This window comes from Homo sapiens, chromosome 7 (genome assembly GCF_000001405.40).
Source record: "Homo sapiens chromosome 7, GRCh38.p14 Primary Assembly".
NCBI lineage: Eukaryota > Metazoa > Chordata > Mammalia > Primates > Hominidae > Homo > Homo sapiens.
In genome coordinates this window covers 24404554-24428635 of record NC_000007.14, presented here as the reverse complement: position 1 = coordinate 24428635, position 24082 = coordinate 24404554, and the positions used below count along the sequence as shown (strand labels likewise).

At 40.4% G+C, this 24082-nt stretch overlaps 1 long non-coding RNA gene across 14 annotated transcripts in view, besides 4 other annotated features; it reads left to right on the top strand.

Moving 5' to 3' along the window:
• The window catches only part of LOC107986777 (uncharacterized), a 303857-nt gene that overhangs the window by 16503 nt on the left and 263272 nt on the right, over nucleotides 1-24082 (top strand). The gene's annotated exons all lie outside the window — the stretch shown is intronic.
• Nucleotides 840-1410: an enhancer, noted in NCBI's record as "OCT4-NANOG-H3K27ac hESC enhancer chr7:24466845-24467415 (GRCh37/hg19 assembly coordinates)". NCBI's record gives its function as "activates a minimal SCP1, AML or CMV promoter by ChIP-STARR-seq in naive and primed H9 embryonic stem cells {active_cell/tissue: H9 hESC(naive and primed)}" and the evidence as "EXISTENCE:reporter gene assay evidence [ECO:0000049][PMID:30033119]".
• Nucleotides 1411-1982: an enhancer, noted in NCBI's record as "OCT4-NANOG-H3K27ac hESC enhancer chr7:24466273-24466844 (GRCh37/hg19 assembly coordinates)". NCBI's record gives its function as "activates a minimal SCP1, AML or CMV promoter by ChIP-STARR-seq in naive and primed H9 embryonic stem cells {active_cell/tissue: H9 hESC(naive and primed)}" and the evidence as "EXISTENCE:reporter gene assay evidence [ECO:0000049][PMID:30033119]".
• Nucleotides 21448-22019: an enhancer, noted in NCBI's record as "NANOG hESC enhancer chr7:24446236-24446807 (GRCh37/hg19 assembly coordinates)". NCBI's record gives its function as "activates a minimal SCP1, AML or CMV promoter by ChIP-STARR-seq in naive H9 embryonic stem cells {active_cell/tissue: H9 hESC(naive)}" and the evidence as "EXISTENCE:reporter gene assay evidence [ECO:0000049][PMID:30033119]".
• Nucleotides 22066-22125: an enhancer, noted in NCBI's record as "active region_25741". NCBI's record gives its function as "activates an Ori minimal core promoter by ATAC-STARR-seq in GM12878 lymphoblastoid cells {active_cell/tissue: GM12878}" and the evidence as "EXISTENCE:reporter gene assay evidence [ECO:0000049][PMID:35858748]".

Below are 24082 nucleotides of genomic sequence, written 5' to 3'. Positions count from 1 at the left end.
GGGCCTGCTTCTATCCCCACTGGGGTGGGGGAAATAAACCAAAACCACCAGATGGTCTGAAGGAGCTGCTGGCAGGGCAGATCTGCAGCCTCATTCCCACGTGCAACTACCTAAAGAGTTGGATCTGAGCCCCTGTGCCTCCACGTGACAAGGAAATAATGGAATGTTTTGCATACACCAAAGAGGGGTCCAGAGGTGATGAATGGTCTTAGGCAGATCCATGGTGTTCCCCACCCTCCCTGGGAATGTGGCCCCCAAACAGCAAAGGTTCTTGAGAGCCTGTGAGGACACAGAGGAGCTCAGGAAAAGCTGCACCTGCAAGGGCCTTGTGCCTGAGCATGAAGGAAGCTGCCAATCACATGGACCAATGAATGATCAAAGATTCGAGGGAAACCCAGCGTCTCTCCCAGGTCAGAATGTAGAGTGGCCACAGTGCGACCTGGTTGGCATATCTGTCCTTTCCCTTCTCACCCTCTGTCTCCCAGCTCAGATGCAACCTTGTATACACTGATTGACTAAGATGAATGGGAACTCTCAATGGAAACAAATTAAGTTTAGCTGTATTTATGTACATACATATATAAAAATATACATGTGTGTGTGTGTGTGTGTGTGTGTGAGTGTGTATTCCTTGCCCTCCCAAGATTGTGGCACCCTGATTCTGCTACATTTTTCCTGTTGACCTATACTAAGGAAAAAATGTTATTACTTGGACTTAGAACATCTTGCTATTCTTTTCTTTAAAAATTTGTATAAATTAACCTCAATTATACTTATTACTGAGTGAGAAGTTGGCAACCTGGGGTTTGGCATTCTTTCATATTTATGGTGCTACCTTTTTCTATAATACTGAACTACAATGGCTTGAGCCACCAGCCCATATAAAGGGAGAAATCCAGGGTCCTGGCAGACACCTCTGGGAATCCTCAAAGGGCTTATGTATATCAGTTGCACAATGGCTCAGACCTTCTCCTTCCACTGCACCCTCAGCCTAAGGTCTGTTTTTCCACGGCTGTGGGAGGAGGCTTCTACTTCCTACCCCATCACCTTGTGTCACAGGCCACTCCATTTCCCACCTCTCCCCATAATATCATTGACACAGGCAATGTTCATAGCAGATTTTATTGAAGATTTGCGAGGGGCAACAGAAAAGAGTTGCAGCCCAGAAAACAACCTACAATTGAACATTAGATATTTCCCAAATATTCCTGCCCCCAGGAACACCTGGCCAGCCATTGCTTTCTCTCCTTCCTCCAGCCTCCTGCCAGGAAGCTCAGACTCCTCTGGGTGGCCGAATCTTCTTTTTCTTTTCTCTGTGCAGAGCAATGTAGCCTTTTCTTTGTTCTGCTTTCTTCTTTGAAGTGTTCTGCCCTGCAGCCTGGTTTTTCATGTCTAATTGGGTGATCAACAACAACAAAGGCCCTCTTTAGGAGGGTTTCTAGCCTCAGCATTTGAAATCACAATTGTTTTTCTCAAGTACTTCAATCCTCCAGTGAGAATGAATGGCCCAAGACCCATGCTGATTTGGGGCAGGGAATTTTTACAGTTTACAACCTTCAAAGTGTCCTTTTGCCCCAGCCATCATCGAGTTTTTGGCCATTTTGGAATAGGGTGAATGAGCAGCAAGACAACCTGGCCAGTTTGGTCATTTTGACCATCTCTCTTATTGATCCAGAGTCTGCAGACCCATCAGTTCTATAACAATCCACAATCATCATTAAGGCAACCAAAACAAGAGGGCGGGTGGCATCGCTGGTCTTTTCACACATACAAATACAGCCCATGTCCTTCTGCAGGAAGAATGACATACCTGAGCTCCTCAACTGTGGAAATGAAAAACCGACGTGTTAAGATGGGAGAAATCGTAGATAAAAGATGACTAAAAATAGCAGCCACACAAAGCAGCAGAGCTGCCTAGAATACTAAAAGCTAAAAAACAAGTCAGCAATAATTACTAACATAAAAATGTTGGCTTTATTCTCAGCTCAGGTTTCAGATCTTATATGCTGCACACTTGCAGTTTGGCTGGAAGGAATTAGGCAAAATCGAATATGCTATTACCTATAATCTCATCTGGTTTAATTTTAAGAAAGTTTTTAGTTAAGGGAGAAAACAAGGTTAAGGGAGTATTGGTACAATCTTATTACATTCTGGAACAGTGAGGGTAGACTGGACCAGAAAGCACCCATCCCCTACCCTCCTACTGATAGTGGCAAGAGGCAGACAGATCCTAGGCAGACAGGGGCGGGTCCCTGGTGAAACCCCACCTTCAAACCAAAGACAGCTTGTAAAGCCTAGCTACAAGTCCTGTCTAAATCCACAGACAAGGTTGAGAAACCTGTCTTCCTGTTTGGCATGCTTTCCTCTGATTGATCCCAACTCTTCATCTATTTTACATATATGTACCTTTCTCTAATTGGTTTTTTACACTGTTGTGCCCACCTTAGAGTGGTGCCTTTGTCTTACCCTTGTTTTGCAAAGCAATCAGCACATACTTCCCATTCTGAGCACATAAAAGCCCCAGACCCAGGCACACAGATAGACCACCCAGCTTCAGGTGGGGGACCACCCTTGCATCCCCTCTCTGCTGAGAGCTGTTCTGCCACTGAATAAAATTCTTCTCTGCCCTCCTCACCCTTCAATTATCAGCATAACCTCATTCTTCTTGGTTGCGGGACAAGAATTTGGGAACCGCCAAACATAGGTACAAGCTATAACACAGGTGAGCTGAGGCACGCCTGGCCCAGCTGTGGGCTGAGCTGATGCACAAGCCAGGCATGGCCCAGCAGGCCGAGTGGGCAGGGCACCTCCCACAGCCATGGAGGTCCCAGGTTAGCAAAGTGGCCAAGAAAAATCCTGGGTCACCACCAGCCAGGATTGCATCTGTTGACAGAGTGCCAGATTGCTGAGAAAGTGTGCAGGGCACCTACTTCGAATAGTTCCTTTATCAGCAGCCTGCAGAACCTGCAACAATCACCACAGGATCGATTTTCCTCAACCAGAATGAGCTCAGCCCCTCAGTGTCTTAAGCATGGGGGGATCCTTTTAAGAATATGAATAGCCTGGAGACACAGTCCCTGCACCAAGATGCTTCTCCACTTGCTTCCTTTGGAGTTGACTCCTCTGAAATGAGACATTTGCCCTCATGGCCTGTTTTACAAAGTATACATATAAACACACCCTGCCATTTTTTGAATGCACTGTCATGATTGTTTTATTAAATTAGACACTTAAAGAAGATTAGTGTCTTGAGGGCAAGTTTTGGTGTGATGGGGGAGGAGAAAAGGGCTAGTCAAATACAGGTGCTTAAAATGAGTTTCAGATAAGGTACCATGGAGTACTATGCAACTGTAAAAAAGAATGAGTCATTCTCAATGTACTATTAGGGAAAGAGCTCCTGGATATATTGTTGAGTAAAAGAAAAAAGCAAATTTATTCAGTTACCACCATTTGTGTGGAAAGGAGTAAAAATAAGAAAAACTATGTGTGTGATTTTATTTGCATAAGGGTACACTGGAGTAATATACCAAAAACTAAAATTATAACTCATAGGAGGCTGAGGTGAGTATGATGGGGTGGGAAAAGGAATAGGTGGGAATCAGGGTAGAGGTAAGACCTCTTAATGTATTTCTTGTTATATTGTTTTGATTTTTGAACTCTGTGACTATATTAGCTACTCAAATACATAAATGATTTAAATAAGGCAAAATAATAATAGCCCATTCCCTTTTTCCATCTCCTGAATTCAGTGTGTTTTGTCTTTGAAGGACCACATAAGTCCTACATAGATTAATTCATCAATAAGCCTGAAAACCCACTGCAAGTGTGGTATTATGCCAGGTACCTGCCAGGCCCCTGCCAGGCCCTGGGGATGCCCCATGGGCAGGGTACACCTAGCTCTGCTTTCAGGAGGTTGACAGCTTGTCTGGGGGCAGGGCAACTTAAGGCAGACAGATTGCTGTAGAAGGGGAAGACTCCAAGAGCTTCCTTGGACCTCCCACCCGTGTCTTCCCTTGCCCTGGTAACACTGTCCTCCGGGCTCCCAAACACTATGGCTCCCTCCTCTTCCATGATCACCACATGTTTCTCAGGTCCTTCTCTTCTGACCCATGAGTTCCTGTAAGGTGGAAGCCCTTACTTATACATCTCTAGGCCTCGTAGCCTAGTTCTTGACACAGCCTGCACCTACCGAATACTGTTTGAGTGAATGAATGGATGAGATGCTTTCCAGGGTGGGCAGCCTGGGGGCAGCAGGGGCAGGAGAAGGGATCCTGGTAAAGGAAAGTGACCACTAGAGGCTCTGGAACAGGGAGGGGAAGGTGAAGTTCTAGGCTTGTTTCATCTTAATTAGGTTGTATTGGTTAGGGCTCTCCAGAGAGGCAGAATCAATAGGATGCATATAGAGATACATGAGAGAGGATTTATTAGGGGAATTGGCTCATGCGATTATGGAGGCTAAGACATCCTGCAAGAGGCCCTCTGCAGACTGGAGACTCCAGAATGCTGGCAGCATGGCTTGGTCTAAGTCTAAAGGCCTCAGAAACAGGAAAGCCAATGGTCTGAGAACTGGGCAGGGCAGGGGCCCATTGTGGGGCATGCTAGTATAAGTCCTGGAGTCCAGAGGCGAGAAAGTCTGGAGTTGTTGTCCAAGGACAGGCGAGGAAGGGCTTATCCCAGCTCTAATAGACACATGGACACATTTGCCTTTTTTTTTTGAGACGGAGTTTCGCTCTTGTTGCCCAGGCTGGAGTGCAATGGCATGACCTCAGCTCACTGCAACATCTGCCTCCCGGGTTCAAGTGATTCTCCTGCCTCAGCCTCCTGAGTAGCTGGGATTACAGGTGCCCGCCACCATGCCCAGATAATTTTTTGTACTTTTAGTAGGAACGGGGTTTCACCATGTTGGCCAGGCTGCTCTCAAACTCCTGACCTCCAGTGATCCACCTGCCTCTGCCTTCCGAAGTGCTGGGATTACAGGCATGAGCCACCATGCCACGCCCACATTTGCCTTTTTTCTGTTTTTGTTTTCTGTGCACCCCAGTGGATTGGATGTTGCCTACACACATTAAAGGCCGATTTTCCCCACCTAGTCCACTCCGACTCACGTGACAATGTTCTCTGTAAACACCCTCGCTGTAAACACAGACACACCCAAAGTGATGCTTTATGAGGTTTCTAGGTATTCCTTAATCCAGTCAAGTTGATACCTAAAATTAACTATCACATGGGCTGGAATGGGTTTGTTACCCTCATCAACCTCTGCCCAGGAACTGGATCCCTTCATGAAACCCAGACGAACATATCAGCTCAGAACTGATCAGACATTGAGTGTAGAATAGCATGCATATGGGGTCTAGGCAAAACAACTCATGTATCTCCCAACTCAGCAAGTTCTCCTAGGTCACTGCCACTCACCGTCTCAAGACACAGAGGGCATCAATCGTAATAAATACAAATGAGGTGAAGTTCATGTTGCATGGTAAAATTATCAAGAAATTGATATTCAGGCCAGGAGACAGCACTGTTATTTGTCTTAGAGATTTACCTGCTGCACTCTGCCTGAATAGATTCTTAACTGGATCAATTTCAAACCTAACCCTCTGTTTTTCAAATGTGGCAACTTAAATCATTTACTGAAAAGAAAAACATTTCTTCAAGCTTTGTGTCTTTCTTAGTTATGGATGGTCTTCTGGGGTCGATTTTGAAAGCAATTTATGACGATTCAGCCTCTGGACTCCTATTCACTGCAGCATGTGTCAGGTGGATAATTCTCCCAGGTGGTCATCAAAGCGAGCCCTACATTTACAAGGTGGTTTCTGCACTGTAAGCATTTATTTATGTGATTTTGCCTGTCATGCCAATGAGGACGGTCTCCCCTCCAGCTTTTAATTACTGTGGGCCCAGAAATGAATGAAAGTCCTTGGGGAGTAGACACACAGGGCCAGGGTCACAAAGGGAAGGTTGCCTGAGCTGTCAGCTTCATCTATGGCCCTGATAATAAGCTGCAGGCCAAGTTGAAAAGAAAGTCACTGAGCTTGGTCAGCAGCCTGGGGGCCACCAGCATCAGCATTAAGCTAATGAGACAGAGACAAATTAAAACCATTTTCAGGATCAACAGCTGTCCTTGGGCCTCTGGCTCATAACTGGCTTTATGTTTTCCTGGACTGCTGCAGGTGCAGATCTGGGAGGAGAGAGAAAATGAGATCTGACTGAGACAGGGTGCCCTGACAGGGTGGGTCACCCCAGAGGCTGCCTCTCTGTTCTCAAATTCTGCATGGGAGCAGAGGGACATGCAGAGCCCAGACAATAGCAGGGAGAATTGATTCAAAATAGAAAGAAAGAAATCAGGAAACTGAGAAACAAAGCCACACATAGACAGAAAATGAAGACGAGGTAACAAATAAGAGTGATATAATAGCAGTAAAATAAAGTGAGGGGTGAGAAACAGGCAGAAAATGAAACACAGGTTTAGAATAGATGAGGAGATACATAATTGGACAAAAGAGGAGATTTATAAAAGGCATTGCAAATGGAAAATGAGATGGAGAATTCATGTCTATGTGATATATATTCGTTATAATAGAAAGAATAAATATTATAGCCCTCTTGAATAGTTGCAATGTATATTTGCATATTAAAAGCTCTAAAAAGTCCTCCAGAAAAATATTTAATTCTCTAAGCTTCTTTGACCCTAGAATACACCTCTTCTCTTTTTTCTGTGTGATAACAACCCAGAATTTAGTTCCCATTGTGAGAAAAAGCTGCAAGGGATTTTCATTCTTCATAATTGACATGGGAAGAGTTTATCTTATGTGATTAGGCCAATATATTAATATAAGAATGGGCCACTTTACCAGTGATCAAGTTTGTGGTCTACTTCCTGGAACCTATACTTCAACTTGCTTTGTAGCTCTATACTTACTGTGGGAAGGGAAAATAAGGCCCTGCAGTAACATTCTACACACTTGGCAATTTGTGAAAGTCTTTGGGAAGCATGATGTGAGAATATCAGGGTCAACTTGTATAGGTCAGGAGTTCAAGGGATACATCTGGGCTGAAGGTACAGATTTAAAAACCATGAGATTAACAAATGAAAATGAAGTGATCAAGAAAAATATTAAATACCTGGCTCATGAAACTGTAGAATTAATAGAAAGAAAAAAAAGAAATTGATGTCTTTTTTCATTGTCTTATTTCTTCATTTTATCATGTGTTTTAAAATTCTTGGATTTCTCCCATTCCCTTAAGAAAAAAAAGAAAAAAAACACCAATGAATCTGCATTGAAAACCAAAAGCAATAAAAAAATAGGAAAAGCAAATTTAAGGGTTTTTTGGTTTTGTTTTTTTTTTTGTTTTTTGAGAAAGGGCCTCACTCTGTTGCCCAGGCTGGAGTATAGTGGTGTGATCTCTACTCACTGCAACCTCTGCCTCCCAGGTTCAAGTGGTTCTCCCACCTCAACCTCCCGAGTAGTTAGGACTACAGGCACGCCCAACCATGCCCTGCTAATTTTTGTATTTTTTGAGTAGAGACGGGGTTTCACCATGTTGGCCAGGCTGGTCTTGAACTCTTGACCTCAAGTGACCCACTGGCCTCAGCCTCCCAAAGTGCTTAGATTACAGGTGTGAGTCACTGTGCTTCGCCAAATTTAAGTTTTGAGTAAAAGCAGTGAGACTGATTGATTTTTGTAACAATCACTAGAAAGAAAAAAGAAAGGAACATGTATTAGGCATCTATTGTGTTGTTTTATATGCCAACCAAAGAGTGCCGGTTTCTTCAGAGCAGTCATCTCAAGATGCTGTAGTTTTATTCCAATCATGTCGCCAGTGCTCAAATACTTCTTGGTAGTTCACTTTCAGGCTTTCCTTCATATGTATCATCTTTATATTCTTTTCTGGTAGCCCATTGTCAATGTTTGAGTATAGACATAAATTTTTATAAACATTCCATAGTAATTTAAAAAATACATTTTGGTATATGGGTGGATTATCAAGCTGATGAATATTATTTGGAAACAAAAATGAGATAGGACCATAAAGGTTTGAAACTGGTTGTGAAGGTGGCTTGTAAAGATCTCTGACAATGTTTCCTTATGAAGGTCTCCAAATATTTTGGGCAATCTTTGTGAAAGAGGGCTTAGCTTTAGCTTTTAAGCCGTCTGTCTTACTACTTTGGATAAAGATAAATAAATTTTGACCCAGTTTTTTAAAAAAGAGTAACTTATGCTTTATGGTTATACTTGAGATAGGGTAAATGAAAAAAAGCTAAGACAGTAGATAATAGAATGCCAAATATAGATGTAAAAGAAATGTAACCTCAGGATTATGGGGAAAGAATGCATAAAATGAGAAAATAGCAAAAAGCACATGAGGATCAATTGCAGGGATAAGAAAGTAGAAGAAAGGTGACATAGAATGAATGAGGTAATGGGTAAAATAAGTTGAAGAATGGACCAGGCATGAGGAAATCTAACAAATGAGATCAGGAATAAAGTAGTGAATGAGAGAAAAGATTACACAGTAAATTAGAGATGTTCATTTTATGGGCAAGGAAATGAGAAAATGGAAATGAATATTAATAAAATTAATCATGGCAACCAAAGCTGTGGAAAAATGGATAATGAATGAATGAGTGAGCAGAAAGAATGGATGAGGGAATGAGAAAATGAAAAAAAAAAAGAAGGCTGAGTGATTGAAATCATGAAAGTGGAGACAGAGAAAAAATAGACAGCTCTAAAGATGAAAATAAAACTAAGTTGATTAGCATAATGGGAAAAAAGAGATCTGCTGTGAAGAAATGAAGAGAAGGAATGGATACTTTCCAATCTAATCAAAACCTTATGGAAAGTTCTGTAGTTTTCTCTTGGGGGTGTCTGCTGCTTTTCTCTCCAACCAGATGTGGCTGGATAGCCCTGGAGAAGAGAAGGGCCAGGAATTCTAGAAGCAGAGAAGGGCCAGGAATTCTAGAAGCAGAGAGGGACAGCAGCCAGGGAGAGACACAAATCACTGAATTGCAGAGATGTGGCCAAACATAATCTTCATTTAGAGGTCCTCCAATAAAGATAAAAACTCTAAGCCTTATATTTCACTATCCCATTTTCATGTCTCTGAACTCCTTTAAAATCAATGTTTTCTTCCCTCATCTGAATTTATTCTTAAAGGAATTAAATAAGAGAAATGAGTTTTGCTATTATCGTTAGGAGATGAGAAAATAAAATAATTGTAATAATTGTGCTGTAGTGGATTCCTGAGTGTTTGCTCAAATCTTTTTAGTTTGGCATGTGACCATCCATCTAGCTAAAAACTACATTTCCCAGCCCCCTTTGCCACTAGGTGTGGCCATGTGACTATTTGGACCAATAGGCTATGAACAGAATTGAAGTACACCACTAATGGGTGAATCTTGGCCTTTAAAGAGCTGGCCATGCATTCCCATTTCCTTTCCTAATTCCTGCCACCTGGGAGAGGGCGAAGGTGGGAGTAACATCCACTTCCACCCAGCAATGGAAGCCACATATTGGGAAGGTGGCAGGCAGAGCAGATCCCAGACAACCAGAGCATTTCTACCAGATCTGCACCACATATATCTGGATCTTTATGTGAGAGGGAAGTTCTCTCCTAAATAAGTATATTTTGAGGTTTCCTTGTTATATCAGCTTAGCCAGTGCTCTAATACATTACCTGATCTTAGAATTAAAAATACCACTGATTATTAACAGTGTGTGTATGTATGTATGTATTTGTGGATACACACACACATATAGTATGTATTGATATGCTGTATTATTTCAATGTAGGGATGGATACATATTATCCCAGATGTAGAGATTGATATATAGCATGTACATAACATAGCGTATTATATATACTGCTGATATAAGAATGGGTTTATTGACATTTTTGTGAGATCTTCCTCATGGTCATCAACACATTTAAGCTTTTAACAAATTTTTATCACTTTCTGTTTTTCATAAAGACTGTTTCAGATTAAGAGTAAGACCTGTATCTCCCAAACAGCACCCCTTGGCTATGTGGTGCAATCCTTGAGGGAATGCATCACAAATTGTCAAGTGACTTGGGGGTATCTAAGAGTTAAGGGCAAAGATTCCAGAACCAAACTGCCTGTGTTCTTATCTCAGGTCCAGCTCTTACTAACTTTGTGGCTGAGGAAAAGTTACTTCCCTGTGCTTCAGTTTCACCGTCTGTAAAAGGGGGATAATAATAGTGCCTACCTTCTAGTTGTGGTGGGAATAACTTAAAGTAATATATGTAAGGCACCCAGGACAGCACCTGGCACATAATATGCGTAAAAGAAGTGCTTGTTGTGATCGCTTTTGTTATCATTGTTGTTGCTGTTATTATTTTTAACATTTTGCCATTTCCAGAGTTGTCTGAAAGCAGCCAGGGTTGGTAATATACCCATTCAATAGATGAAGAAAATGACTATGAAAACCCACATTAACTTCTTAGAAGATCCATGGCTTATGATTTCCATAAATGAATAATTTATGGAAGTTGATTTTTTTCCCCCAGGTTCTATGTTAAAAAGTGTCTTTGAATCACCAAGGAGAACTTTACTGTACCCCCTAAAATACTAACTATAAACCTTATTATCAATAAGTATTTGTTAAGAGCCTGGAAGAGAAAGACAACTAAGTTAGCTCAAATAAAGTAAGAGAGAGTTGATGTAACTCTCCCAAGGTCACACAGTGTGTAAAGTTGACATGAGAACCTTGGCAGTTTGTTTTTAGAATTGCAGCTCTTAACTCTTAAACAGCTTCTGGATGTCACTTCACAATGTACTCATAATTTAAACTTGTCGCAGCCACAGGCTTCGCCTTATTATGGCACCAATCTCAGGCGAGGAATTTGATTAGCCCATATTCCGTCTGACGTCTGTCCTTGGTCCTATCAGCTGTGGCCACAGGGCTGGGTCACCTGATCCAACATGACTTCCCAGACGGAACCTACCGGTGGAGGCTGGGAGTGGGAGTACTTCCAAAGAAAGAGAGCTTTAAGGACACAATCACCTCAAAACCTATCTTCTAAAACTAAAATGTGAGAAAGAAATTTAGATGTGTGAGTAAATAAAAAACTATGTTAACCTGTTTATGGGAACAGGCCAGGGAGCTAGACAGAGTTGGCTGCCACCACTAGATAGGCAGGACCATGGACCCCATAAGAGAAGATGACACTGCTCAGAGGAAGAACATAAAGAACATGTGACCTGCAGAACTGCAGTGACTGGAGGAAAAGGGTCCCACTGAGCAGCCTGAGGGCTCACAGTAGCACATGTTCCAGAGAGGTTAAAAAAAACCAGGAGGGGGACTCAGAACTGCCCTCTGGATTTGGCAATAAAGGTCCAGCCATTTTTGTGGGAGCAAATCAGGGGAAAATGGGCCCGACGTAGAAAGCAAAGTGTTGATGAGAGCATCGTGGGAGGTGAGGACATCGAGACAAGGAGGGCAACTAGTTTTCAAGCTCAGCTCTGAAGGGAAAGAGAGCCATGGGCAGGAGGTAGATGGAAAGGGGTGCAGGCAGAAGGGTTTCCCATTTTGTTTGTAGTAGAGTTTTGAGCATGTTTTATAAGCTGAGGAGAGTCACTAGAAAATAATTGGTTGAAGATGAGACAGAGCAGTTAACTGATGGAGATATTTCTGACTAGGGGGTTATAGGATTGATTTTGGACAGAAAGAAGGCTGCATCTATTTTAAATTACCTGGCAGGTTTTACAGAATTGATTGATTAAAGTCAAGTTAACGTGGAAAAGTGCTGGAGAAGTCCTGAATGTTGTGGTTATATTTGTTTTTAAGTTGTATTTTAAATCAGAGTAATACATGCACATAGAGAAAAAAGAATCTCGATGAGCTTATAATAAAAGCAAGCAGTTCCTGCCCCACCTGTCTCCATCCATATCCCACATCCAAACACTGTCACTATTAAGAATTTTAATGTTCTTCTTTTTAATTCTTTTTTATTTATCTGTGTTTTTTCCTGAAGAATATAGTTCCCCTGCTTATCTGCAGTTTCGCATCTATAGATTCAACTAACTGTGGATCAAAAGTATTCAGAAAAGAATCCAATTTTTTTAAAAAACCAATATAGCAATAAAAATAATACAGATAAAAATACAGAATCACAACTATTTACAGAGCATTTATATTATATTGGTTATTATAAGCAATCTAAAGATGATTTAAAGTATACAGGAAGATGTGTGTAGGTTATATGGAAGTACACTTTATACAATATTTTATATACATTTTTTATACTTTACATACATTTTACATAAGGGGCTTGAGCATCCGAGGATTTTGGTAGCCACAGTGGTCCTGGAACCAGTCCCTGAAGGATCCTGAGGGACGATGATATGCCTATATCCATTTCCTAATTTATCAAATATAGATTCTGTTTGACTTTCTGCTATGATAGGTGACGATTTAGATGACTTCCATTGTTCACACCTCCCATAGCTCCTTCTTAATAAAATTCTTTCAGTATTTTTATTTCCTCTTTGTTACTTTTATAAATTTAAATGCTATTCTCAGAATCTTATTATTCCATTCATTCATTCATTCATTCATTCATTCATTCATTCATTCATTCATTCATCGTTCCACAAATATCTATTGAGTGCCTTCAGGTACATGCCTTGTATTCCTGTAGGGGGCTGGAAATATAACAGCAAACAAGATGAACAAGGTCTCTGCTCCTGTGGGGCTGACATCAGGGTTGTAGGGAGACGGGAAATAAGTGTGCAAACAAATTAGAGACAGTATCTCTCAATTCCTTATTTTGTACGATTAAGATGCCAGCACCCTTACCTTTTTCCTCACTTTTTCTATTTTTCCTGTTCCCAACTTTGCCACTTGTCCTTTAATTTTACATTGCCAGAACATTGTGTTTTGAAAACACAATGATTTGGGGGTTATGTTTATTCTAAAAGATGAAAATCAATAAACAGTGCTTTCATTGTTGTGTTTTGTTTTTGTTTTTTTTTTTTCCAAGACAGAGTCTCACTCTATTGCCCAGGCTGTAGTGCAGTGGTGTGATCTCAGCTCACTGCAGCCTCTGCCTCCTGGTACAAGTGATTCTCCTGCCTCAGCCTCCCAAGTAGCTGGGACTACAGGCATGCACCACCTTTCCTGGCTAATTTTTGTATTTATAGTAGAGACGGGGTTTCACCATACTGGCCAGCCTGGTCTGGAACTCCTGGCCTCAAGTCATCCATCCACCTCGGCCTCCCAAAGCGTTGGGATTACAGGCGTGAGCCACCACGCCTGGACTTATTGTTGTGTTCAAATATTGTCCCCAGCACAGCGAGGTAGGGTATTGTGCTTCCGGTCTCAGGTAGTGGTTCGTGGCACTCAGGTGCTGGAGCCAGACTGCCAGGATTTGATCCTGGCTCTGCCACTCACTAAGTTTAGGCCTTTGGCAAGTTCTTCCTAATCCTCTCTGTGCCCCAGTTCCGTTATCTATAAAATGGGTATAATAATAGTGCCTGTCTCTGAATTGTTATGAGGATTAGGGAGCTAATAAACATCAAGTGCTTAGAGTGGCTCCTTGTCTGTAGTTTGTGCTACATAAATGTTACCTATTATGAATGCATTTTTTTTTTCACTTTTCTTCCTCTGACTCCTCCTTGTTTTTCAGGACGTCTTCTTTGTCATCTTCTTAAATAATTCGACATTCTCAGGAATACTATTAAATCCCTTGGATACTAATTGCCCCCGAATTCCCTCCCTCCTGGAGTTCTTTATCCTCCTGAAGCAAATTGGACTGCTTGTTCTTAGGCCTGCCACACAGTTACCTCATTAGGATCCTCCTTCATTACGCCTCTGGGTTGGATCTACTGTTGTCTGAATCCCATGTGAGCTAGGACAGACCACAAAGGCCAGTCCAGGCAAGGCAAGGAAAGAGGACAACCTAGAATTGGGCACGATTACATTGACTTCAGTTTAGTGTTATTTCAAAGGCTGCCCATGAGATTAATGATATATAATGGTATCAGTGAGCTTCACCTCCTCCATCTCCCACCTCACAGCTTCCCTTGTTTCTCGTAAAAATCTAGGGGTCCCAGCAGCCAGGAGGGTAAGTGACCTGACTGGTCAGGGAACCCTAGAACGGCAGGCTTTCTGCCTTTTTCCCCTTTCAAAGGAGGGAACCAGGGTGTTCCAAGCCATGCCATCTGGCCTTGATGTTGAGTTCTAGGATCCAAATATCTTGCTACTCTATAATTACAAATCCCAACTCTTGTATTTTGTTTCTTACTGCACCATTGAGTACTTGAGGCTTCAGGGCAGCCTCCTCTTTCTTTGATTTCCTTTACTTTTTGTTCTGGGTCACATCAAGTCATCTCCTATGGTAACTGGTGTGGGCTATGAATTTCCAAGCCTGTGTAGATTTAAACATGTATTTATTCTAGTTTCCCACTTGATTGACAGTTTGGCTAGGTATAGAATGATAAGTGAAAATGGTTTTCTGTCAGAAATGTTGAGTCCCTTCTTCAGTGTCTTCTAACTTCATGAGAAACCTTGAGGCTAGTGTGGTATTTTGTTTCTTGTACAGGACCAGGGAAGCTTCTCTGGTGGGAAGATTTTCAGATATTTTTTTAAAAATTAATATTCTGACATTTCACAACCTGCTGTGAATGTTTTTATTTTACTAGGCTGGGCACTTGCTGGATTTTCTAAGTATGAGCACCCCTGTACTTTAGATCTTGGAAATTCTCTCATATTTTTCATTTGATCATTTTTTTCCTTGTTTTCTTTTCTTTTCGGTCTCTTATTAGTCTGATGTCAGATCTTCTAGAATGATAATCCATAACCTTTAATTATTTTTGTTATATTTTCCATCTCTTTTTTGGGATACTTCTTTCTGAAAGATAATTCTAAATTTGTCTTTGAACTTAACTCTTTACTATTTGAACTTAACTCTTTATTTCAGTTATTATTAAATATATCTTTTATATCTAAGGGTTATTTCCTCCATTTTTTTCATAGCATTCTGTTATGTTTTCATCATGCAATATCTTCTCAAATATCCCCGAAGATAATCATTAATTTATTTTCCTTTAAGTTTTCTTTTGTTTCTTGAATTATATGTTCCTTCTGGTGTTATGCTTTTTCCCTGTGTTTTTCTTGGTTCTTTCTTCCGTGTCCAAGGCTTTCCTTGGATGTCTCATCTTTCTTGGCTATCCACACATTTTAAGGGTAAGGCCTTGAAACTTATTAAGAACCTGATATGAGGCAGGTTACTGATTGGCAGGCTTCTTTTTAGGGTCATCAGGCATGAAACTGGCTCTTATTCTGAGAGTTCCAAAAATGCTTGAATTCAGAGACCTTTGCCCTGTAATCATTTATTTCTGTAGAGAACAATCCTCCAATTAGCCTGAGGTAGAGCAGATTATGTAAAAGCTCTGTAGTCTTGGATTTAAATGGCAAGTATTAGTATGAACTCTTCTATCTTATATCTGTAATTCCTTTTTAAAATACAAAGAATCTGGTTTTCAGGGACCCAGGGGATACTAGAATGAGAAAGTGCTGTTTTTGTGCTCCAGAGTTCAGTTTGCACATGGCAGCTAGAATAGACTTTTTTAAAATAAACTTTTAATTGTAGAACAGTTTTAGATTTACAGAAAAATTGTGAAGATAGTACAGAAAGTTCCCATATATCCTACCCCCAATTTCCTCTGTTACTAACATAGTAGTATGGTGTATTTGTCATAATTAATGAATAAATACTGGTACATTATTATTAACTAAAGCTCATACTTATACTTTGCTCAGACTCCCTTAGTGTTTACCTAACGTCCTTTTTCTGACCCAAGATCCCACGTTAGATTTAGTCATCATTCTCCTTAGGCTCCTCTTGGCTGGATTTTTTTCTCAGACTTTTCTTATTTTGATGACTTCGAGGAGTACTGGTCAGGTATTTTGTAGAATGTCCATCACTGGGATTTGTCCGATTTTTTTTCATGTTTAGACTGAAGTTATGAATTTTGGAGTGGGAGACGACGAGGTAAAGTATCATTCTTATTACATCATATCAAAGGTATATACTATCAACATGACTTATCACCATTGATGTTGACTTTGACCATCTGGCTAAGGTAGTGTTTTCAGGTTTCTCCACTGTAAAGTTACTTTTCCCATCCTTTCCATATAGTACTCTTAAGAAGAATGTAATTATGTCCAGTACACACTTAAGGAGTAGGGAGTTGTGTTCCACTACGTTGAGGGCAAAGTATCCACATAAATAACTTGGAATTCTTCTGCACAGAATGCCCTTTTAAAAGCACAAATAAGGGTATTTTGAGCCTTGATTAAAATGCTCTAAGGACTTCTCTGCTTTCTTAACATAAAATCCAAACACTTTACCCTGGGCCATGGGCCTATGCCATCTGGTCCCCACTTTCTGTGGTCTCCATGGGCCATGGTCCTATACAATGTGCTCCTACTTCTTACTCCAGGCTTCCTACAGGCCACATATGATCTGCCCTGATCTTTCTTCTCAACTCCATTTATTCTTCCCCTCTCTCAGTATGCTCAATCACACGGGCCTACTTTTGATTTCTTAAAAAGGTCAAGCACATTCTCATTTTAATGATTTTACCATAGCTGTTGCCTCCTATTTTTACAGGGCTAATTCTTTCTTGTCATTGAGGTCTTAGCTTAAATGTCCCTGACGATATGGCTGCCAATTTACTTTCTATAAAATCATCCTGTTTCACTTTGGTCATAATACCTATCTCAGTCTCAGTAATTTCAGGTTCATATTCTGTTTATCATCTACCTCTACTCATCTAGGATGTTCAAGTGTTGTGAGAATAGTCTTTATCTGTCTTGCCTATTACCATGATACTTTTACCCAGAACTGTGCCTGATGCTGTAGCAGTGAATAAATGAATGACCTCATTTACCTTCCCCTGGAGGCCTATGGAGAGAGAGGATATGAAAATATGAAGTCAGTCTATCACCTTGAATCAGAAGTTTCTGCAACTATGTTTAAAATGGTTAAAATAGTAGTTAAAAATGGTTAAAGTTGATTATTCGTGAGAAATCAGTAAATAAAGGCAACATGAAATGCACTTTTTAAAAGGAAATTCATTATATGGCCTTCAGTCAATAAAGCACAGGGCTCACTGCCTGGCTTTTCAGTTTACTTTAGGTTAAGTGAACCATTACTAAGTTGGGAGCTTCATTATATTTGCATAGTTAAAAGCACCGTCACCTCCAGTGTTGTCTTTTAAATAAAAAGCAGCCTTCCCAGACTTAAAATTTACACTGATAGATTCCACGGTCTGGAAATAAGTTGGGCTGAAAATGAGCCAAATTAATCTCTACTTCCTCCTCAGTTACACACAGCAAAAAGGCTTTCAGTAGCCCAAACCAAACTCTTTAGGCATGAATTTCCATCTTGGAGCTCCACCTACCAGCACCAGTGAGTTCTCTCGTCTAAGAATGTAGCCAGGTGGTCTAATCAAAGAAAGAAGGATCTCTGTTGCAGTTAAGTTAGGCATACAGGCTGAGTTTTCCTTAGCTGAAGTGCTTGGGACCAGAGTGTTTCTATTTTGGAATATTTGCATTATATTTGTTGAGTATCCCAAACCTAAAAATCTTTTTTTTTAAATTTTTATTTCCATTTGGGGAAGAGGTGGTATTTGGTTACATGAGTAAGTTCTTTAGTGGTGATTTGTGAGATTTTGTTGCACTCATCACCTGAGGAGTATACACAGAACCCAATTTGTAGTCTTTTATCCCTCACCCCTGTCCCACCCTTTCCCCCGAGTCTCCGAAGCCAACTGTATCATTCTTATGCCTTTGCATCCTTATAGCTTAGCTCGCACTTATGAGTGAGAACACACGATGTTTGGTTTTCCATTCCTGAGTTACTTCACTTAGAATAATAGTCTCCAATCTCATCCAGGTTGCTGTGAACGCCATTAATTCATTCCTTATTATGGCTGAGTAGTATTCCATCATATATACATACCACAGTTTCTTTATCCACTCGTCAAAACTAAAAATCTGAGATCCAACATGCTCCAATGAGCATTTCCTTTGGATGTGATGTTGGCACTCAAATGTTTTGGATTTTGGAGCATTTCAGATTTTGGATTTTTGGATTTTGAGATGCTCAACCCGTATAGGCAGGTTATATTTAGTCAGCAAGAAAAGACAGTAAAAGATACTTTGCAAATTGTTCCTGAAATATATGGCATAGACTTGGTCTGACCCAAGTTTAGTTTTCATATAGCAGTTATGTATTCAGAAAGGCTAATATCTGGGGGCTGGTCACAGTGCCAAGTATGGCATTCTAAGCTTTGCCTACCTATTTGATGGAATATGGAGGCTCCAGTTTCCATCCATATCTGCCTCACCATGAGCTTCTAGTGTCTCTACTCTCAGCTTGAAGAAGCGATCAACTATAACATAAATCACTGATGCTGTGTACAGCACTTAGAGAGACTTGGGGTCCAGTAATTCCATCACCTGGAGATTTCATAATTTTCCATCACCACCTGAAGATGGAGGTTCTTTTATTGTTGTTTATTGTTAATTATTTTATTTATATGTTAATTATTTATGTTATTATTATTTTATTGCTTATTGTTATCCATCATGTATTTTATTGTTGCTGCACAATTCAATCCTGCAAAGCTTTTTACACCTTTGCTACTCAAGTGTGGTCCAAAGCCACATGTTTGGCATCACTTGGGAGCTTGTTAGAAACGGATGTTCAGGTCCCTCCCCTGACCTAGTGCATCAGAACTTGCATTCCACTAGCATCTCGGGTGATTCATGTGCACATTAAAGTGGGAAAAGCCCTGCTTTGGCCCACCAGGTCTGCCCTGTACCAAGCGGATGGCATAGCTGAATAACAGGCCTCCGAGGTCGCCATATGTTCACAGGCTTGGCTCTGAAGCCTGTCCACATCCCCTTGATTTCTGACCCCATGGGTTGTCTTTCTTTATGTGGCTTCACTGCTGATATCTAGCATCTGGCACTGTTCTGATGGTTTTGGCCTATTCTTCCCTCCATTAACAGGATGGTAATTCTTCCCCTGGGTTTACCACCGAGGTGAGCATGGGTAGAGGTGAGAAAGCAAGGGAGTTGAGAGAATGTCAGAAAGGTGAGGAACAGAAATTTTTTTGAAGTATCTCAGGTAAAAATATGCTACAAGAAAACTAAAATATTTTTGGAACCCAAAAGAAAAGCTGTGGTCCCAGAACTCAGGGAGCAGGGCTGCCCCTGAGCCCTCAGCGGCAGTGATTTACAGACACTGACACCAGTGCTGCATCATCCGTGAGCTTTAGCTACCACCTGACTCTGCTGCTGTGTCTCTTAGATCAAATGGAGTCAGACAGAGAATTTGGTTCGGTCTGGCCTATGGAATGCTTCTCTGTGCATTGAGGGGCGGAGGGTGTGCTCAGGTCTGATCTAATCAGCTGTGGTTCAAGATGAATTTACAAGATGCAAATCCCATTGCTGAGGTTGGGGGTGCGAGACAGGTTCTCTTAGGTGAAAATGTCGTTGGAGCGGTTAGCATTTCTAATATGGTAACTTAAGCCACAGTGAAGAAGGTATATGCTGAGTTTTGGGGTAACCCTTATTTCTGTATACCAGCTAACCTGTAATCTTCAGACTTCCTGGCTCATTAGATCATGATGCGTAGTTTAACATGGATTATGATGTGTTTATGATAGTCTTTTGTGTTTATAAAACAGATTTTATCTGCAGTCATTGTGGGTATATAGTTTCTTGAGACAATATCCAGCTAAAGACATCATACATAATACAAATAATCTATATAGGGCCTATGGGAGAGCTTCAAACGTACTTAAATATAATATTAGTTCACTTTAGGTTTAACTCAGAAGACGTAGCTATTCTAGTTCAAACATTTTAAATGAGCATAGTTCTAGATCAGTTTGTTTCGGATGTTTTCGTTAAAGCTTTTGGTTTAGTGAAGAAAAAATAGTATATGGGTTTGGTTCAGAGTTCTGCAAATAAGGATGGTTCATTCCTGTTTTTGTACACAGGATATTTATTCAATGCAAGTTCTTGAAGCGTATATAGTAACACAAACATACCTTAATTATAATTCTCTAAAAGGAAGTGGAGAAAACTCGAAGTCCTTCTTGTTCTTCCTGTTGCCAGATTGGTTTACAACTGAACTGTCTTGATGAATAGGTTTTGGTGATATTTTAGAACGCTTTCTAGTAATGAAGATCCCAATTTTTCCTTGGTTAGACCATTCCAGTAGGTTTTTCTCATGAGACATTCTCCCATATAATTACCTGCAATTCCTCACATGGCAGTTTACTTTCTTAGCCTTGTTTTCAGCAGCATGGGAGAAGAGCTGGTTACTGTCTTGTAACTGTCCACTGAAGAGATGAAGAGGGTCAGCCTTCTCAAGTTCAAGTGAAACAAACACACTTTCAGCTGAGTGTAGACTCCTTAGGTGTCTTTAATTAACTTGTCTTCAGTTTGTCACACAGGTGGCCTTAGAAACTGCAGGTATGAGATTTAACTTAACTTGATAGCCACACCTTAGTATAATATCTGGCAGTCTTAAGGAAGCTGCTCAACACACATTTAGCAAGTGGAAGGCACGTGAAGTTTTGTCTGTATCAAAAGTCTATCTTTCTACCAAATGAGTTCCCAAGGAGATGGTGACAATTGAGAAAAAGGAATCTAAGATGATGTAAACATTTATTAGCAATAGTATACATTTTTCCATCTCTGTTAGGTGGATTTGGAGGTAAGCATATTTATGAAATAGAGAAAAACTTGCAGTGAAATAGAATTGTATCGACTCAGAATTAATGAGAATTTGGACAGGGGATTACATTTACCTTTGATTACTTATATTAAAAAAGGGGGAAGTCATTTTGAAGCACATTAATAGGACATAGAGAATTTTAGAGAACATGTTTAACCTGCTTAAGAAAATAAGCAGCCCTGGCTCTTCACATTTGACATGCAAATCTCAAATGATCCTTCTTTATTTCTTGAAGCAATTTTGCTGGGAGCTTTACATGAGGAAACATTGTTGATGATGCACATAATAATTCTATGCTTGAAAGTAATAAAATATTCTAATTCAGATTCTAATTCAATGTAGCCTTTTCCAATTGCTTCATTTCCTCAGGCTTTACTATGTTGCTGCTACAGAAAGAAATACTTGGGGACAGTGGGGTAAAAAAACACTTTGGGAAATATAATCTCATTAATAGAGAATAGTTTCCCAGCTGACCGTCAGGAAGAATAGAATGAGCAAACACATGCAGCAAGCTGGGAAATTTTTATGTAGAACCAATTTTGATTTATGTGAATGAATACCATCTTCCTTGAGTATTTACCACATGGTCTCCACATTCTGGAAAAGGGACGATGTCTATGTAGTCTCTTAAAGACTGGCTAGGTTTCCTGAGACAGGAGGGCAGAAGAGTATGCAATAAAACAGGTTTATGCAGGAGGATGCATAGTGAAGCTGACAGAAGTGACATTTGCTGTCAGAACCTTCAGGTGCTTTTCAAAGCTCACCCTTACCTTGCCTTCATTCCTCTAGGAATGCAGTTGCTCTCCTGGCCTGGGCAGTGGCCTCCTGTGGCCAAGCCTGTCTCAGGCTGCAGCACTGGCTCTATTGTGCATGACAGAAGCCCCCTGTGATCACTTTGTCCAGGTGCTAAAACGATCAAGGCTCTGTCACCAGAGGCTTAGTGAAAAGATGTCTCTAAAGGCAATCACGAACCAAACCCTAGCTCTCCAGCACTACACTGGGCAGCTAAGCTCTGACTACAAGGTGTCATCTGTTTAGCAGTTCAGTAACCCTTTACTTTGAGAGCCTGGTTAAATTATTACACATCTTATGCATGTATCAAAATATCACATGTTCCCCATAAATATGTACAAATATTATTTATTCAAAAAAAATCTGACTAGCAAGATATCAGCCCAATCGGCCTTGAGGGAGTCTTTTAAAAATGCTATTTATAGTGCATAATCAACCTAATCCTATTTGCAAGTACAGTATCATACATAATGAGCCATTTGATTTGCAAATTTTCTAATACCATTAATCTGACAACTTTTGTGCCAGGTCAGAATGCCTGAGAGGCCTGCCTTCATTAATAACATCTTACAGCTGATACTTCTGTGGTTTATTTCACATGTGTGGGCGTGTACAGGAAGGGGATATTCTAGAAGGGAGGGTGTTCTCTGTACCCTTGAGTCAGGCCTTTTGTCTCAGCTTGTCGGAGTCATCAAATGGTACAGGAGTAGGTGTTGAATAGCAAGGTTCTGTTCCTGATTTGGCCCCTCACACTTGTCTGTGTGATCTTGAACCAGTCATGTACCTTCCAAGGGGAACACATGATCCTCTCCTCCAGGCAGATCTCCCCAAACCCCCCTAAGTGGGTGCCTCTCACCATATCCCCCCAGTTCTCCATGTGCATGCTTCTATCATACAACCAACGGCATTGTATTGCAGCAGTTTTTTCCCCCAGTGTGTTTCCCTTACTGGAATGCAAGCTCCATAAGGGGAATGCAAACTCAGTAAGGGGAGGGTCTGGGTGCTATTCACCTTCAACTGCCAGAACCTAGCAAGTAATGGCACACAATAGGAAATCAACACATTTGATCATCAGAATTGAACTAAGCTGTCTTCAAGTTAGAAAAGCCAGTGATTCTAAGTTAGGCAGTATTCAGGGAGAAGTAAAATGGGAATGTTCAGATAACATTCGCTGGTGAATCTGATCATAAACTGTGACCGATACTGTTGAAACTAATTATTCTTATCCTTGACTACATATTAGAATTGTCTAAGGAACTTAACAAGAAATAAATAAAAACAGTGCTCCTTCCCTGCCCCCTCCAGCAAGATTCTGACTTAATTGGTTACTGTTCCCACCCTTTTCTACAACATGGGGTCATAATTAACCCCCTCTTCCCAAGTGATTCTGTGTGCAGCCAGGGATGAAGATCACTGGTCTAAACCTTACTCAAAGTCAGTATCAAGCTATTACTAGCTAGTAGAGTTTTCAAACTTCATACATAAAGCATCAAACAAGTAATTCATGCTCATTATATAAAAAAACTTAGAAAAATACATATAAGCAGAAGAAAGTGATAAAAATATCTATAATTATACTATAGAGAGCTCCTTTTTACATTTTGCTACATATACATTTTTTTCTCTAAGAAAAACACAGATTCTGTCTTGTAACTTACTTTTTTCCCACTCAGCAGTGTATTGTAAACATCTTTCTATGTTAGTAAAAGCATTTCTTCACCACTGTTGATTAATTTTTAATGGACAGAACAATAGTGTGGTGCTTCTTTCAACCTGTTTCTTTGCAGACCAACATAGGGCATCCTCTTATGCATGTTTAGAATTTAGATTTGCTGCAGAAATAGTGTTGTTTTCCTTAACATCTCAAACAATCATTTCTCACACAATGCATCTAATAAGGAGTATTTTCTACTTTTGGGGTATCTATTCCATTTCAGATACAACTAGAGATCTGAGGATAAAAGATCAGGCCAGACTGGATTTCTATGGTAGTATTGATGCTAACCAGCCTACTGTTTGACAGAAAGTTTTTTTGGGAAACTTTTTATGTTTTGAATCCTGTACATAGGATAGATAAAATCATGATACTCAGGTTACAAATGGTAGTAATTTTAATGTTTTTATAAAATTATTTTATGTGTAAAGATGATATAATTGGGTAAACAAATACTAAATAAACTTTGTGTTTAACCTAAATCACAGTCTAGAAACAGAATACCAACATAGTTGTAAAGAGTAAAAAAATTAAGAAAATAAAGTAATTTTTAAAAAATCACTAAAGATATCTGTGGGGATTGTCTGGTTATCCAATTATCTCCTGAATCTCCCCAAGATTCTGAGTTGAGACACTTTTCTTTCTCCCATGCAACTCCCCACCCCATCCCCAAAACAAAAATTCTGGGAACTCTGGAAACCATCTGCAACACTGAGGCACTGTCACTAATACTAAACACTTGTGACTCACACCTGTAATCCCAGGACTTTAGGAGGCCGAGGCAGACAGATC